The sequence below is a fragment of the Homo sapiens genome, chromosome 1 (assembly GCF_000001405.40).
Source record: "Homo sapiens chromosome 1, GRCh38.p14 Primary Assembly".
Classification (NCBI taxonomy): domain Eukaryota; kingdom Metazoa; phylum Chordata; class Mammalia; order Primates; family Hominidae; genus Homo; species Homo sapiens.
The window spans coordinates 88,632,582-88,650,409 of NC_000001.11; the positions used below are offsets into that span (position 1 = coordinate 88,632,582).

General features: G+C 39.1%; 1 long non-coding RNA gene across 1 annotated transcript in view, besides 1 other annotated feature; it reads right to left on the minus strand.

Annotated features, from left to right (window-relative positions):
• Positions 1-17,828, minus strand: part of PKN2-AS1 (PKN2 antisense RNA 1) — a 147,692-nt gene that overhangs the window by 95,069 nt on the left and 34,795 nt on the right. The gene's annotated exons all lie outside the window — the stretch shown is intronic.
• Positions 14,725-15,019: an enhancer, noted in NCBI's record as "tiled region #5313; HepG2 Activating DNase unmatched - State 8:EnhW". NCBI's record gives its function as "activates a minimal TATA promoter and a strong SV40 promoter by Sharpr-MPRA in HepG2 cells {active_cell/tissue: HepG2}" and the evidence as "EXISTENCE:reporter gene assay evidence [ECO:0000049][PMID:27701403]".

Consider the following 17,828-nt stretch of genomic DNA (forward strand, 5'->3'; position numbering starts at 1 on the left):
TTCTAGTTTTATTGTATTATGCTCAGTAAATATACTTGATATGACCTCAATTTTTAAAAATTTGTTGAGACTTGTTTCATGGCCTACCATATGATCTATGTTGAAGAATATTCCATGTGCTGTTGTGAAGAATGTGTATTCTGGTCAGCTGCAGTGGCTCGTGTCTGTGATCCCAACACTTTGGGAAGCTGAAATGAGAGGCTTGCTTGTGCCCAGGAGTTTGAGACCAGCCTGGGTAACATGAGGAGACCCCATCTCTAATCTCTACAGAATTCTTTAATCAGCTAGGCATGGTGGTCTACACCTGTAACCCTACCTACTCAGGAGGCTGAGGCAGGAGGATAGCTTGAGCCCAGGAGGTCAAGGTTGCAGTGAGCTGTTATTGCATCACTACACTCCAGCCTGGGTGAGTGACAGAGTGAAATCCTGTCTAAAAAAAAAAAAAAAGAATGTGCAGCTGTTGGATAAAATGTTGTTCTGTAACTGCTTGTTAGGTCCATTTGATTTACAGTACAGTTTAAATCCAATATTTCTCCATTGATTTTCTGTCTAGATGATCTACCCAACACTGAGAACGGGGTGTTGAAGTTTCCAACTATTATTGTACTACAGTCTATCTCCTCCTTTAACTAAAATAATATTTGGTTTATAGTCTGGGTCCTCTTGTGTTGAGTGCATGTATATTTACAATTGTTATGTCCTCTTGCAAATTTGATCTTTTTATCATTATTTAATGATCTTCATCTCTTTTTACAGTTTCAACTTAAAGTCTATCTTATCTAAGTACAGCTGCTCCTGCTTAGTTTGGTTTCCATTTGTGTAAAATATCTTTTGCCATCCCTTCAGTCTTTTTCTTTTCTTTCTTTCTTTCTTTTTCTTTCTCTCTTTGTTCCTTCCTTTTTTTCTTTCTTTCCCTTTCTTCTTTTCTTTCTTTCCCTTCTTTCTTCCTTTCTTTCTCTTATTATTTTTTCTTTCTTTCTTTTTTGAGATAGGGTCTTGCTCTGTGGCCCAGGCTGGAGGGCAGTGGTGCAATCACAGCTCACTGCAGCCTCTACCTCCCCAAGCTCAGGCAATCCTTTCACCTCAGCCTCCCAAGCAGCTGGGACTACAGGTGTGCACCACCACACCCAGCTAATTTTTTTATTTTTTTGTAGAGATAGGGTTTTGTAGTGTTGCCCAGGCTGGTCTCAAACTCCTGGGCCCAAACGATTTGCCCACCTCATCCCTTTGCTTTATATGTGTGTCTTTACAGGTGAAGTGAATTTCTTGTAGGCAGTAAATAGTTAAGTCATTTTTTAAATCTGTTCAGCCATGCTATATCTTTTAATTGGGGGATTTAATCTATTTTCACTCAAGGTTATTATTGATAAGTAAGGACTTACTCCTGTCATTTGGTTATTTGGGGGTTGTTTTGTAGATCTTTCATTCCTTTCTTCCTCTCTTATTGTTTATCTTTGTGGCTTGGTGGTTTTCTATAGTGATAAGGTTTGATACCTTTCTTTTTCTCATTTGTGTACCTGCTCTACTAGTGAGTTTACATTTTTGTGTGTTTTAATGATGGTAGTTATTATCCTTTTCCTTCTAAATGTAGGACTCCCTTAAGTATTTATTGTAAGGCTGTTGTAGTTTTTGCTTGTCTAAGAACATTATTTCTCCTTCATTTTTGAAGAATAGCTTTGCTGGCATTCTTTTTTCTTTCAGCACTTTGAATATGTTATCCCATTCGCACGTAGCCTATTAGTTTTATTCTAAGAAAACTGCTGTTAGTCTAACGGAAATTTCCTTATATATGACTTGACACTTTTGTCTTCACTTTGTGTTTGACTTTTGACAGTTTGAGTATTCTGTGCCTTGGCAAGGACCTTTATGGGGTTGAATCTATTTGGTACATTTTGAGCTTTGCAGATCTGGATGTCTATATATCTGACAATACTCGGGAAGTTTTTAGCTATTATTTCATTAAATATGTTTTTCTATGCTTCTTACCATTTCCTCCCTTCTGGAACTGCCATGATGTGAACATCTGTTTGCTTATTGGTGTCCAGTAAGTACCAAGGCTTTCTTCTTCATTGTTTTTACTTCTTTTTTTTCTTTTTGTCTGACTGGTTTATTTCAAAAGAGCTTTCCTCAAATTCAGAGAATTTTTCTTCTGTTTGATCTAGTCTATGATGAAGCTCGTGGTTGTATTTGTTATTTCATTCATTGAATTCTTTAGCTCCATGATTTGTTTGATTCTTTTTTATGATCTCTACTTCTTTGTTGGACTTCTCATTCTGATCATGAATTATCTTCCTGATTTTGTTGGATTGTCTATCTGTATTCTCTTTCAGTTTCCTTAGGATCATTATTTTAAATTATTTTGCAGGCATTTCATAGTTTTCATTTTCTTGAAATCTATGAAATTACTAGAGAATTAGTGTGTTCCTTTGGAGGTGTCATGTTTTCTTATGTTTTCATATATTATATGTCCCAATGTTAATATGTTCATCTGGAGGAACAGTCACCTCTTCCAATTTTATGGAGCAGCTTTCATAGGAAAAGATTTTTTCCTGTAGATGTGTCCAGTAATGTCGGTTGTATAGACTCAGGTGTTTTGGCTTTGGTTCTGGATGGTTGTGGTAGTATAGTCTCCATGTGATTGCTTCAGCTGTAATCAACAGCAGGAATGCCTACAAGTGCTTTAGTGGCCTAGATTCTGGGTGTTTGTGGAGGTAGTGGTGTGGCTTTGCTTGGGGCAGGGCTGCTGAGAGGGCCAGTTATCAGGCCCTAGGGTGGCACATGCTGGATACAGTGGCTCTGCCAGTTGCAGGGGCAATGATGGCAGTGGCAGCAGTGACTAAGGTGTATCAATCCCTAGTCACCAGCGAGTACACATGTACATGATGGCTTGGGCACTTGTGGGGGCAGGGTCACCAGTGGCAGCAGGTGCTGTGCCAGCTGGTCCTCAGTCATAGGGGAGCATGTATGGTGCATGGTGGCTCCACGACTGGGAAGGCAAGGTCACTAGTGGCAATCGGCACCAGGTGGGCTGGTCCTATGTCCTTGGAGGAACCACTTATATACCACTTCAGCATGTATCTCAGTTTTACCTATCTATGCCATGCCTGTCTATTGTTTGGGGTACTGCTGCAACAATTGACTTAGTGCAGACATAATCTTATTCTATCTTCCTTTATGCCATGCTACACACTTCTCACTTGTTACCCTAGCATTTCTTTATTGATTTCAAGGAACAAATGCTACAGTACCCTACATGCCACTTATATGTGCATTCCCTATAAGTGACAGGGGTTACCACATGGGGTGAATCTTTGACATTGTTTTCCATCCACCAACTCCATACTTTCAGTGCTAGGTACCAAAGGACATTTTCATAGTTATACACCTCTACCCCTGCATCTTCTGTTACATTGCCAGGTAGACTGTTAAAGTAGGCACATTAATAATGCTGGAAGCCACTCCCCGACTGAGATAGTTCGCTATACACTGTAATGACCACAAACTACATAAATATATCCAACTAAATTATTTGCCAGTTCAACTTCCTCTTAGCCAGATCCCCAAAACACCCCCAGTGTCACCAAACTCAAGGGTAAATATAAAGGAAGAGAAGTATGTTAGTCAGGGTTCTCCAGAGAAGCCCGTGTGTGTGTGTGTGTGTGTGTGTGTGTGTGTGTGTGTGTGTGTAGAAAAAGAGCGTGAGAGATTGTAAGTATTTATGTAATGATGGAGGTCATGTGATTATGTGTCATGTGATTATGGAGGCTATAAAGTCCCAACGTCTGCTTTCTGCAAGCTGGTGTTTCAAAAAAAAGACAACAATGTAGTTCCAATTCAAGTCTGAAGCCTGAGAACCATAAGCACTTACAGGGTAAGTTCCACTTTGAGGGCAGGGGAACACTGATGTCCCAGCTCAAGCAGTCAGAGAGAGAGAATTCTCCCTTGCTCTACCTTTTATAAGCCCTCAATGGATTGGATGATGCCCACTTCTATTGGGGAGGGCCAGCTGCTTTACTCAGTCCACCAGTTTAAATGCTAAATACTCTGGAAACACATGCACAGGCACACCTAGAAATAATACTTAACCAGATGATGTGGTTTGGCTCTGTGTCCCCACCCAAATCTCATCTTGTGGCTCTCATAATTCCCACGTGTTGTGGGAGGGACCTGGTGGGAGATGGTTGAATCATGGGAGCAGGTCTTTCCGTGCTGTTCTTATATAGTGCATGGGTCTCATGAGATCTGATGGTTTTTAAAATTGGAGTTTTCCTGCACAAGTTCTCTTCTCTTGTCTGCCACCATGTGAGATGTGCCTTTCACTTTCCACCATGATTGTGAGGCCTCCCCAGATATCTAGAACTGTAAGTCCAATAAACCTCCTCTTTCTTTTGTAAATTGCCCAGTCTCGGGTAGTCTTTATCAGCAGTGTGAAAATGGACTAATACACTAGATATCTGGCCATCCCATGGCCCAGTCAAGTTGACACATAAAATTAACCCTCACAAGTCCACTTTCTTGTCAACTTGACATCCATGCACATTTCCTTAAACCATACTTAATTGCCAAATAAAGATAATTTAAAAGGCATAGCTCCACCTAACATGATAAAACTATCCTATATATAACTAAAACCTCACTGACCCTTCCCCAGGAGTGGAGTTAAAGCCCTTGAATAATTTGAGTAATGTTTATTCTTCTCTTTGACATCTCATAACTTAAATACTATGATGAAATATTAACAATATTTAGGTACTATTAAATAAAGCCAATACATCCTAGTTATAAATATGTGTGTATGTATAAATATGTATTAAACATATACTTTTTCTTTTTCTCTTAATACCTTGTCATATAACAAAATAAACAGGAAATGCTTATGACAATTACAGTCTTCCTTTCTGTAACTAATTACATGGTCATAGGTTTTTTGTTCTTTTTTTTTTTTTGAGACGGAGTCTCACTCTGTCACCCAGGCTGGAGTGCAGTGATGCGTCTCGGCTCACTGCAAGCTCTGCCTCCCGGGTCCATGCCATTCTCCTGTCTCAGTCTCCCCAGTAGCTGGGACTACAGGAGCACGCCGCCACGCCCGGCTAATTTTTTGTATTTTCAGTAGAGATGGGGTTTCACCGTGTTAGCCAGGATGGTCTTGATTTCCTGACCTCGTGATCCACCCACGTTGGCCTCCCAAAGTGCTGGGATTACAGGCGTGAGCCACCGCACCCGGCTGGTCATAGGTATTTTTAACTACCTTTTTCTGCTACTGTCTGCCTTTAGAAAAAATCTTCGCTGGTCATGGTTGTTTACCTGGTGGTAAGGAACTCAGTGTTACACTGCTAGCAGATTGGACATTCAGCAGTTGCCATAACCAGATCAGCCTTGGTGAGTTGAAGTGCATGTTGCTGGGCCCATGCATACGCTCCATCCCTGCCACCATGGTGAATTTATCCATGAATCCACTGGACAATGGCAGGGTTATCTGGGGAAAGAGACTGACTAGTATCCACAGAATGGGTCATTCTATCCATTTGATTATCAGAATCCTCTTTTGCTAGTGTTAAAGAACCCAAACTTTCATTCCTGAAGGGTCTGGGCCATTAGTAGTTCAGTTAAATTAGGTTGTTATAGTTTTTCATTGACCTTAATCATAGGGCATGGTAATACTACAATATTCCCTAAGGGATCTCCTGTGTTCCACACATAGTCTTCCTTACCTCTTTTGGGGAGTAGTAGTCAAAGTTCTCCCTTGGTTAGTTAGGATCAATCACCCTGGCCAGCACAGTAACTGCCTTCTTTGCCTGTTGATTCAGAGGCATGAGAAGTGTCAGTGTGGCCAGGTGACATTCTTAACTTCCAGGTCAATTGGATCATTGTTGTGCCTCTTCTGGGAGCATGCCTCTCTTTGGAACTAGAACCCCTAGGCCAACAGAGCCTAAGGTCATAGAAACAGGAGGCAAAATGTTGCTAGTGTGTCATTAGGGATAATAGTATGTGATCTTATTCCCATTTCCACCCTTTGCTTCTGGGACCCACAAATCTTGGCTAAGGGAAAAAGAGCACTATATATTGGGTATTGATTCAGAGAATATACATCCTCCTATACAGCCTTGTAAAGAAACTTGTCTCAGTTCTGCAAGGTACTGCCATTAGCTGGTTCTCTGAGTGTCCAAAAGACCATTCCATTGTTCTGTCAAGCTAAATGCTTTAGGATGGTGGAAAACATGGTAAGATCAGTGAACTGCATGAGCATAGGACCATTGCAATACTTCATTTGTTGTGAAGTGAATTCCTTGATTAAAAACAATGCAGTATGAAATACCATGACAACAGATAAGGCATTTTGTGAATCCACAGATAGTAATTTGACAGAAGCATTGCATGCAGAGAAGGCAAATCTGTATCCAGTCAGAGTCTATTCCAATAAGAACAAAATGCTGCTCTTTTATGCTGGAAGTGGTCCAATGTCATTAACCTGCCACCAGGTAGCTAACTGATCACTCCAGGAATTGTTGCCATATCAAGTATTCAGTGTTCATGTATGCTGCTAGCAGATTGGACATTCAGCAGTGGCCACAACCAGGTCACCCTTGGTGAGCTGAAATTCATGTTGCTGAGCCCATGCATACCCTCCATCCTTGCCACCATAGTCAATTTATCCATGAGTCCATTGGACAACAGCAGGGGTGGCTAGGGAAAAAGACTTACTGGTATCCACAAAATGGGTCATTGTGTCCATTTGGTTATTAAAATCCTCTTTTGCCTAGGTCACCCTTTGGTGAGCATTCACATAAGACACAAATATCTTCATGTTGTTTGCACAATGTTGAGATGACTATCTACAAACTCTTCCCTAAAATTTTCTTGCCACCAATTTTCCAATCATGTTCCTCACATCTCCCTGATCATCCAGCCAAACCATTGACCACAGCCTATAAATCAGCATATAATCACACATCGGGCCACTTCTTCTAAGTGAATTTGGAAGTTCATTTGGTGCACTGCTTGATGTTCTTCCCAGTGGGAGGATTTCCCTTCACTATCCATCACGGATATCTCAGGGAAGGGTTGTAGTGCTGCAGCTGTCCACTTCCAGGTAGTGCCTGCATATTATGCAGAACCATATATAAACAAGGCCTAATTATTTTCTTCTTCTGTCAGTTAATAATAGGGTACTACTCCCTGCAAGGTCATAGGTGCAGGCTGAAAGAGAGAAAGGAGTGTGACAGGAGTAGGAACCGTGGGCATTTAGGCCACTCTCAGGTAACTTACTTGTGCCTTTAGGGCCTGCTCAGGCCTAATCAATATATACCAGTTCCATTTAATAATGAAATGTTGCTGTGCGTGCCTTACTTTATGGCTTGGTGGGTGAGATAACAACCAGTTTTTGATGGACAGCTCAGATCACATGGTAGTTCGATAACTTGGCCTGTAGTTAAGCATTTAATCTCTACTAAGGCCAGATAGCAGACCAAAAGTGATTTCTCAAAAGAAAAGTAGTTATCTGAGAATGATGGCAGGGCCTTGTTCCAAAATCCTAAAGTACTGAGCTGCAATTTATCTATAATGGTCTTCCAAAGACTTCAAACAACATCCCTATCTTCCACCAACACTTCAAACACATTGGATCTGCTGGATCATATGGCACAAGTGCCAGAGAAACTTGCAAAATAGCCTGGACCTATTGCAGAATCTCGTCTTGTTCTGGGCCCCACTCAAAACTTGCAGCTTTCCAGCTCACCCAGTAAATGGGCTGGAATAACACCTGAATGAGAAATATGTTGCCTCCAAAATACAAAGAGTCCCACTAGAGGGGGAGGTGCCACATACTTTTAAACAACCAGATTGCACAAGAACTCACTATTGTGATAACAGAACCAAGACGGAGATGGTGTTAAACCATGAACCATGAGAAACCGCCCCCATGATCCAATCACCTCCTACCAGGCGCCACCTCCAGCATTGAAGATTATAATTCTACCTGAAATTAGGATGGTGAAACAGATCCATATCATATCACTCTCCCTTTCCAATCAATGCTCTGACTTTAACAACAGACACTCTACAAGGCTGGGAGTTCAAATTGTCTTGTAATTCAGCCAGTCACAGGATGAGGTTCTGGGTTTGATTTTCAATAATCTCAGCCCTGACAATACAGGAGATAAGGCTCTCCTTTGGGGCACACATGGAAGTTTTCAGGTCATTTATGCAGTACTTGAGCTGGTAATTCAAATGTCTGACCTCATCCTTTTCTTTAGCCAATTTGTCTAGTAACATTAGAAGCAATCAGCCAATCTCATTATACTCATTAGTTTGCCAAAAATATTCAAAAGTAGCACATGCACAGTCACCCAAACTCTTGCATTTTATAAGTAGTTGATTAGGAGTATCCAATAGTAATATTTTATGTATCTTTATTGCTAGACCTTGTTATGAACTATCAGTTCTCTCTTTACTTCTGGAAATAAAGTTATTAGCACCTTTAAATCTAATCAGATTAGACAGCCAATTCCAGAAACCATCAAACTAATTTACAAAATCCATTTTTAAAATTCTGTTTCTCTAAAAACACTCTCAATACCAAAATCTGTATTAGTTAGGGATCTCAAAAGGAGCAGAACCAACAGGACATACACAGACATATATATAGGAATACATAGAGACAAGTACCCCAAATATTCATATATATGTATGTATATATACAGAGAGAGAGAGAGAAGGAGAAAGAAAGAAAGAAAGAAAGAAAGAAAGAAAGAAAGAAAGAAAGAAAGAAAGAAAGAAAGAAAGAAAGAAAGAAGAAAAATAAAGTTGGAAAGGAGTTATGAAGAGTTGGTTTGGTTCACACAATTATGGAGCCTGAGAAGTCTCAAGATCTGCAGTTGACAAGATGGAGACCCAGGAAAATTGACTGTGTAGTTCCAGTCCAAAACCCAGTAGGCTTGAGATCCATGAAGAGCCAGTTCTTTAGTTTGATTCTGAAGGCAGGAAAAGACAGATGTTCCAGTCCAAGAAGTCATATACCGAAGTTTCCTCGCACTTGAGGGAAGGTCAGACTTTTTTGTTCTATTCAGGACTTCAACTGATTAAATGAGGACCACTCACATTAGGAAAAGCAATCTGCTTTACTCAGGCTACTAAGTCAAATGTTAATATCATCCACAAACCAGGCCAGTCACAGTGGCTCACACCTGTAATCACAATACTAATACTTTGGGAGGCCAAGGCAGGAGGATTGCTTGAGGCCAGGAGTTTGATACCAATCTGGGAAACATAGTGAGACCCCATCACTAAAACAAAAATTAAAATTAAAAATTAAAAATGTCAAAAACATCCTCATAGACGTATCTAGAATAATGTCTGACAAAATATCTGGGCATCCCATGGCCCAGTCAAATTGACACATAAAATTAATCATCAATGGAAGTCAAACCAGAATGACCTAGTGATCTTAACAAATTGCAGTTATCTTACTTTTTCAAATATCATTTATACAATATGACCATATGAGCATACTAAAAGGCCCATACAAGTGAGAAGCCCAGTTTATTCATCAGTTTCAAAGCACTGGTAAGTGACCTAGATAGTGAACTTATATAAACGCATATCCCCAAAACACACTGTCAAAAGAAAGCACCACCAACACCACCAGACAGCACTTTTTCATGTAAAGTGGTTTTGTCCAGTATTCCCAATTCTTGTGATAGTTCATCCCAGGAATCATTACTCTGGCCACAGAGCTTAGGACTGCCATACCCATGTGGATCATGGGAATGGATATTTGACTATTCAACTGTTCTTCATTTTGTATAATCCATCAAAGCAATACCCTCCATTCCACTTGAAATAAATAGCACCTCTTGAGGTTTTGGACAATACTATATTACTTATCTTTATCAGAAAAAATAACAACAAAAGATACCTTCATTGTCCCTCGAGATTGTAAATGGTTGAATAATTTTCTGCTACACTATGAGGTACATTCCAGTCCTTTAAACTGTTTAGTTAAGCCTGATTTTATTCTTAAAGCAAAATAATTCATTATTTTATATCTTTCTTTTTCAAAAAACAAGCTTATACTATTTCCACAGGATCAGTTACCAGAGTACTTGAAGTTTTGGTTCCCAAGATGCAAAGTCCTATATGAATCAGTACCAAGTACAGCACTGAACTAGGAAAGTCTTACTTTCTGAGGGTTTCCAAGGGTCCTAACTAAACTCATGGAGAAAGTTGGGAAAGGGATATGTTTTTTTATTTATGTACCTACAGGAGAACTAGAGAGAGATTTGTTTCCCTTGTTTTTTTTTTGTTGTTGTTGTTGTTGTTGTTGTTTGTGTGTTTGTTTTGGTTTGGTTTGGTTTTTTTGAGACAGAGTCTCGCTCTGTTACCCAGGCTGGAGTATAGTGGCGCAATCTCGGCTGACTACAGCCTCCACCTCCCAGGCTCAAGTGATTCTCCTGCCTCAGCCTCCCCAGTAGCTGGGATTACAGACATGCACCATCACGCCAAGCTAATTTTTGTATTTTCAGTAGAGATGGGTTTTCACCATGTTGGCCAGGCTGGTCTTGAACTCCTGACCTCAGGTAATCCACCTGCCTCGGCCTCCCAAAGTGCTGGGATTACAGGCATGAGCCACCACACCCAGCCAATTTTTTTTTCCTTTCAAATTCCACTGGATTGGCCGAGGGCGGTGGCTTACACCTGTAATCCCAACACTTTGGGAAGCCAAGGTAGGCGGATTGCTTGAGTTGAGGGGTTCTAGACCAGCCCAGACAACATGACAAAACCCCTTCTCTACAAAAAAAATTATCCAGGTGTAGTGGTGTGTGCCTGTAGTCCCAGCTACACAAGAGGCTGAGGTGTGAAGATCACCTGAGCCCAGGAGGCAGAGGTTGCAGTGAGCCTTGATCATACCACTTTGCTCTAGCCTGGACAACAGATTAAGACTCTGTCTCAGAAAAAAGAAAGAAAAAAAAATCCACCTGATGGAGATGTTGATGACCTAGTTGTCCCAGGAGCTCTGTAAGAAAAGTCAAAAACTCTGAATTGCAAAAAAACAAACAAATAAACAAAACTCTGAATTGCTTTCTAGCCCTCATATTCCCACTAGCAAGTGTGATCTAGAAAAAAATAAAAAAGGATTACAAGATAAAATCTCTTGAGATTCCAATCCAAGACACAAAATAATCTCTCTTTTAATCCTCTGCAATCTGTATAATAAAACCTTCTCCCTTTGTCAACAATGTTTTCATCCCAGAGGAAAGCACTACCTAGGACACTGAAATATTGTCATCCTCTTCTCCCCTTTATGCTCCAGAATCTTAAGAAAAAAAAAGATTACAAATTGAATGTGTATGGAATGCAAAAAGAAGGGTGGAAGTGTAATATAATAAAGGTAGTATGTTAGACTCACATAGAGGCACCAAAAAAGGAACTTTTATTTTTTGATGAAAAACTCTCAAAACTAGATTCCAGTCTTTTTTTCCCTTTCTCTAAACTCTTCTAATTGGCTTGCCAAATTAACCAGTGTTCTCCATTTCCTCTCTAAAATATAAGACTTAAGTCCAAGTACACTGAATAGTTTATATCATATTGATCCTGGTTAGTAGGCTATATTCCACTACATCCCCATAATTCTCTTTCCATTGGCTAGGTTGTATGCTTATCAATAATTACTTTTAGGTACATTTTCACTATTCTAATTGCTTTTTTGAGTTAAAAATTTTGTAAACTGATGAAGTATGTGTGAGAAAAGAAAGTTGTGTTTATAAAATTTAAGCTAAATGCTTTGGTAAAGTCTAGATAAAAGCAGTGGCTTAAAAATTGCTGTCAAAGTAAGTGTAGGTGAGACAAGCATAAAAGAATGGGAAAAAGCATTAAAAATCTCAGTAGATATTATATTAAGATGGAAGACAGAGTCTCACTGCTGCACAGGCTGGAATGCAGTGGCCCAACCTCGGCTTACTGCAACCTCCGCCTCACTGGTTCAAGTTTTTCTCATGCCTCAGCCTCCTGAGTAGCTAGGATAACAAGTGTGCACCACTACGCCCAGCTAATTTTTTGTGTTTTTAATAGAGACAGGGGTTTCACTATGTTGGCCAGGCTGGTCTCGAACTCCTGGCCTCAAGTGATCCACCTTCCTCAGCCTCCCAAAGTCCTGGAATTACAGGCGTGAGCCACTGCGCCTGGCCGGCTTTACAAATATCTTTAAAGTTTTGTTCAGCTTTCAAGAGACCAAAACTAAAATTGTAGGCAATGCATTATGGTTATGGTTGAACCAAAAAAGACAACTTAGAACATCAATAACTGTATCTACATTAAAAAAATTAAACAAGGCCTTAACCCAACTTCAAAATAGTGCCGTATGCATGTACACTTTCAGGTGTTAATCTAAAATAAAATGTTAATGTAACATTTGGAATGATTCCTCACTTTGACTTTTTAAACCGTCTGATAACAATTCTCAAGAGCCTTTTACTACACACCATTTACATGCTCACCTTCCAAATGTTATGTTCATTAATTTCTCGATGCCTATTCAATGAACTCTAAACTTTGTGGTCTAGCAAATCTACACATTTTTACCTAACTCCATGTTCTATTTTTATTTTTTATTCATATACCTTATCTTTAGTCCAATTAGACTTATTATTCTCTGAGCACATGCTTTAATTTTAAGCTCATGTTATACTATTTAGGAAAGGAAAGAAGGAAGGAGGGAAGGAAGGAAGGAAGGAAGGAAGGAAGGAAGGAAGGAAGGAAGGAAGGATGGAAAGAAGGAAGGAAGGAAGGGACGGACCTGGGTGCACCTTTGGAGAATAGGATGAGGAGGCTCCAGTTACAGGTTGAGGCAGTAGCAATGTCATCCCATCATGGGTGGGATAGTTGTAAAGTGAATTAGGAGAAACTAAAGGACTCTGGGGTGGGAAGGAAAAGACAGGACCCTCTATTAGTTGACCATCAGTTGAGTCCCAACCAAGAGGTTCTAGAACAACCAATGGACTATGTGATTTCAAAACAATTTCCAAAATAATAAATCTTGAAGACTTGAATCTCTTCACTTCTCACATTCCTGATTTAAGAGGGAATAATTAATTTGATTATTTTTCCACTTTTGGCATTACTTTTCTGCCCCTAATTTTATTTTTTTATCAATTTTATACTGTTTTCCTAAAAATCGACAGTGTCCCAAAGGAGTTGTAAGCTTATGTCCATGCAAGAAAACTGCACAGGGACATTTATAGCAGCTTTATTCATAATTGCCCACACTTGGAAGCAACCAAGAAGTTCTCCAATAGGTGAATGGATAAATGAACTGTGGTACCTCCAGACAATGAAATAATATTCAGTGCTAAAAAGAAATGAGACATTAAGTCATGAAAAGACATGGAGGAAATTTAAATGCATATTACTAAGTGAAAGAAACAAATCTGAAAAGTTATATGCTGTTTGATTACAACTATGTGACATTCTGGAAAGGGCAAAACTATGGAGACAGTAAAAATATCAGTAGTTGCCAAGGGTTGGGGGGAGGGAAAGAGGAATAAGCAAAACACAGGATTTTTAAGACAGTGAAATATTCTATATGATACTATAATAGTGGATACATGTCATTACACATTTGTTCAAACTTACAGAATGTACAACACCAAGAGTGAACCCCAATGTAAACTATGAACTTGGGGTGATAATGACATGTCAAGGCAGGTCTGTCAGTTGTAAGAAATGTACCATGCTGTGGGAGATATGGATAACGGGTGAGGCTGTGCATGAGGGAGCAGAGGGTACATGGGAAATTTCCATATCTTACTCTCAGTTTTGCTTGAACCTAAAACTGCTTTTTTTAAAAGTCTTTTTTTTAAATGACAGTGTTATAAAAATTTCTAAGCTAGAAAAGACCTTGAGTGATTATCTTCCATCTCCCTATTTTAGACAGCATCACAATAACATCATCCTAGGCAGATGAACAGCTATTATTTTTAAAACCTCCAGAAGAGAAGATTCTACAACCTCCCAACATTAACAACTCTCACTGTCAGGAAATTCTTCCATCTATAATCTAAATCTTTCATGCTGCTGTTCAAATCAGTTTTCACTCTGCAGAGCTGAGTTGATATTGAGAACAGCTGGTCTTCAGTATCTATGTAGAAATTCTTCATTTGCTACCACTGTAATACAATATATATAGAATATATATATTTTCTGTGTAGCTTTTAGTTCTTAGCTTACATCCTTGTCCAAGCTGATTAACCCCAGCTCCCCAACCTACACAAAGAGTTCATTTGTACCCTTATCTGTACTCCCACATCACTTTGCAAGTATCTCTACTTTATCACAATTTAGTGGAATTGTAGGTAGGTGTGACTATCTCCCCACACCTCCTTCTATCTTATTCATGTGCCTATCTCTGTAACTGATATGTAATAGGCTCTCAATAAATGACTGTCAAATGAATGAATGAATGAATGAATGAATGAATGAAACTGCTCCCAGATAAACCATTTTCTTCTAACTATTCAGCTATGGATGTGGGTATCCTCTGTCAGGTAAGTTTCTCTTGATAACAAGTAACAACAACCAACTCTACTAGTTTTGAAAAAAACAGAGAATGTACTGGAAGAATACTAGAATAGCTTACAGGATCAAAGGAAAACTTGGATCAGAAAGGGTAGGAACTAGGGTGTTTCCTCTGCAGGAGGTTGTGGGGCTTCTTTCCAGCGTATTACAATGTGTCTCAGCTACCAACAACTTTCAAATTATACTCCTTCTCTTCTTGCAACACTTCCAGTACACATAAGAGATAAACTGATTGGCCCAGCTTAGGTCAGGTGACAGACCTGAATCAATTAGTCATGGTTCAGGGAATAAAGATCGCTAATGTAGACACAGCTATCAGGGCAAAGGTCAGCAGAGGACATGTCTGTGCATGATGGCAGCTCCTCAGAAAAGGGGAACCCTGCACTGTAGAGCCACCTCGAGAGATGACTACTGCAAACAATCACTGAGCCCTTGAGCCCATTGTCATTGGTGAGTTTTGAGAGGATGTCACAGAGCTAAATAAACAAGGTAATTAAACTTTTTTCCCTTTTTTTTTTTTCTTTTTTTGGTTTGGTTATTTCTCTTCAGGCCCTCTGGTACCAAAATTAAAGAAGATAAAAACCTATCTTACTTAGTTGAAATGTAAATTTCCTTGGAACTAGAGATCAGTACTTGAGCTAGTGATAAATACTATCACAAGATTTACAGCACACAGAAAAATCTTTCAGAAATTCAGTACATTTTATATGTCATTGAATTAGTAGCAGACACACGCCTGAGCTACTGAATCGCAAAGAGCAAAAAGGTAGAGGTGTTGCATAGCCTAATACCCTGCCAATTGGCTCAGCATGCCTGCGGCATCCTGTCCTTAAGTTCCTCATGAGTACACATGCCAAGAAGACACTAAAAAGAGAGGAGGAACAATTGGTCAGCTATGTAATAATAATACTTTGCAATGATTTAGAAGTTTTCAGTTTAAGTCAAATTATTTCTATATTCTAAGTCAAATTATTTCATATCTCTTGTCAGATTTTGTAATTGAGTTAAACACCTACGATAGATTAAAACAGCCACAAAAGAAATTCTTTGCAGCTCTTTCCATGAAGAGGAGGAGTCAATTTCCCCACCCCTTGAATCTGAGCTGATAGAGACTTGGTTTGACTGAATGAAAGAAAATGACTTTGTGTGAATTCCAAGCCTAGGCCTTGAGAGACCTCCGAACAAGCAAATAAAAAATAAAAAAAAAGAAACCATGTGGAGACACTTACATTTGAAGGCGTTTGTTGCATTGAAGTAGATAACCTATACATCACCCAAACGCAATGGCCCATTGCCTTTTATTTAGTTTGGCACAAATCTATAATCGTCTTTCGAAAAACTTTTGTTTGGCATCTCTATATATCTCTTTCTATTCATCTATCTGTCTGTGAATCCCCCAAGTTTATAGGCAAAGCAAGCTTGGTTTCCTAACATTTTGGAAAAAAATGTACACTTAGAATTTGGCTAATCCAGAAATGCTATTCTCCAGGTTAAGACATTCAGGCAGTCTATAAAATCTTCCTAAATGTAAGATGATTTTCAAAGTTCTTGCTATTTTTTTTGCATCATTTACTGAGAGAATTAAACTTATGTTTTATGTGTTTCCACTTCTGTTCTCCTGTGTGAGTTACCTGAAAGTTAACAGGGTACTTGTAATCTATGGGCCATCTCCGTGGATGTGGAGATTTGGCTCTGCTTCACTTCGTCTTCTCTGACTTCCTGATTTGAAGATCTGTCACAGGCCCCTGCTGTGAGATCTTCTTTATTCTGTTTTCCTTTTATCTTTGCCCAGAGACTTTCAAGAATTCTTCTTTGTTCCTCCCATTTCCATAGTTACTTTGGTATTTGAATATCTTCCTATGTCTCATCCTGCTAGAGTTTATGGATGCTTGGTTTGAATTTAGGATGAGAGCTGAGATACTTAATAATTAGCACAGAAGCCAGCCTAGAAATTCCCACAACTGGCTGTATCATACACCCCTCTGTACTCATTATTTTTACTATGGTTTTGGTAATATTACGCTTCACAAAAACTAAACAAGCCACAGTTTCTTGACTAAAGGAAATCATATTCATCTTATATGACTCCCCCTTTTAATTTACTTTTAATCTAATACTGTTATTGTTCTTATGTCAGTTTCCAGTTCTGATTTTCTTTTCTCCCATGATAATTATTTGGTTTTCTATACCTCATTATTTGATTCCCCTTTCCCTAAATCTAGCATCTCTTTTTACTCTGAAAAAGGATTGTGATCATTCTGATAAACAGTAGGCAAAAAATCCTAAACCCTTTGGAATAAGAGTTAAAACATATTATTTTAAGAGATGTCTTCAGTCTGTACAATTTCTCCAGGCACCAGCACACCATAGAACCAGCTGCCTCTATTCACATTCACTACCTGCCACTCTAAAAGAAACAATGATGCCCTGGAATGAAAGGAGGGAGGGGCTTCATGAGAAAATTGGGACACTATTGATGAAAAACATCAAAAAGAAATTCTTCTAATTCACTTTAAATGGAGTTTACATTGGAAAAAAATAAAGACAGTGGAGCATTTGATCCCATGCATCAAAAAGCACTTACTGAGCACCTTGGTAATACAGGTTATATCTGCATGCCTCAATTTCTAGCATGCTTACATAAATTACCTCATATGTGAGCTAAGTAGGCAGATAATCAATGAGTTATTGTCTGTGAAACACTTTAACTGAATATACAATGTAAACATTAAGAAAAAATTTCTATTTTACACATAAGCAAATGGGGTCTCAAAGAAGTGGAGAGACCTGCCTAATCTGACAGGCCAGGTGTCCTGACTACCATAAAGCTTTGCATCACACTGCTTTCCTGTGAGTCTCCTCTGTGCAAAGCAGAGGGATATGTTGAAACCTCTGATTTGAAAGGGTTTACAAATCAGTTATAGACAAATGACATACACATAAAAGAATAACATGATGATAATAGTGAAGATGGTGATGATAGTTGACACTTTTATGGTACTTACCCTGTGCTAGGCATTGTTATACATGAAGTGACCCATTTAAATCTCTTAGCAATCTTTCAAAATAGGCATCATGAGATAATTAAGGCACAGAGAGATTTAGTTACTTGCCTGAAGTTACCGGGATAGTGTGTGGTAGGATTGAAATCATTTGAAGTCAGCTGCCTGGCTCCAGGGACTATGTTTGACTACTATACTCTACTGCCTTTCTATAAAACAGTATATGGAATACATTCTATATTCATGATCTAATTAGTG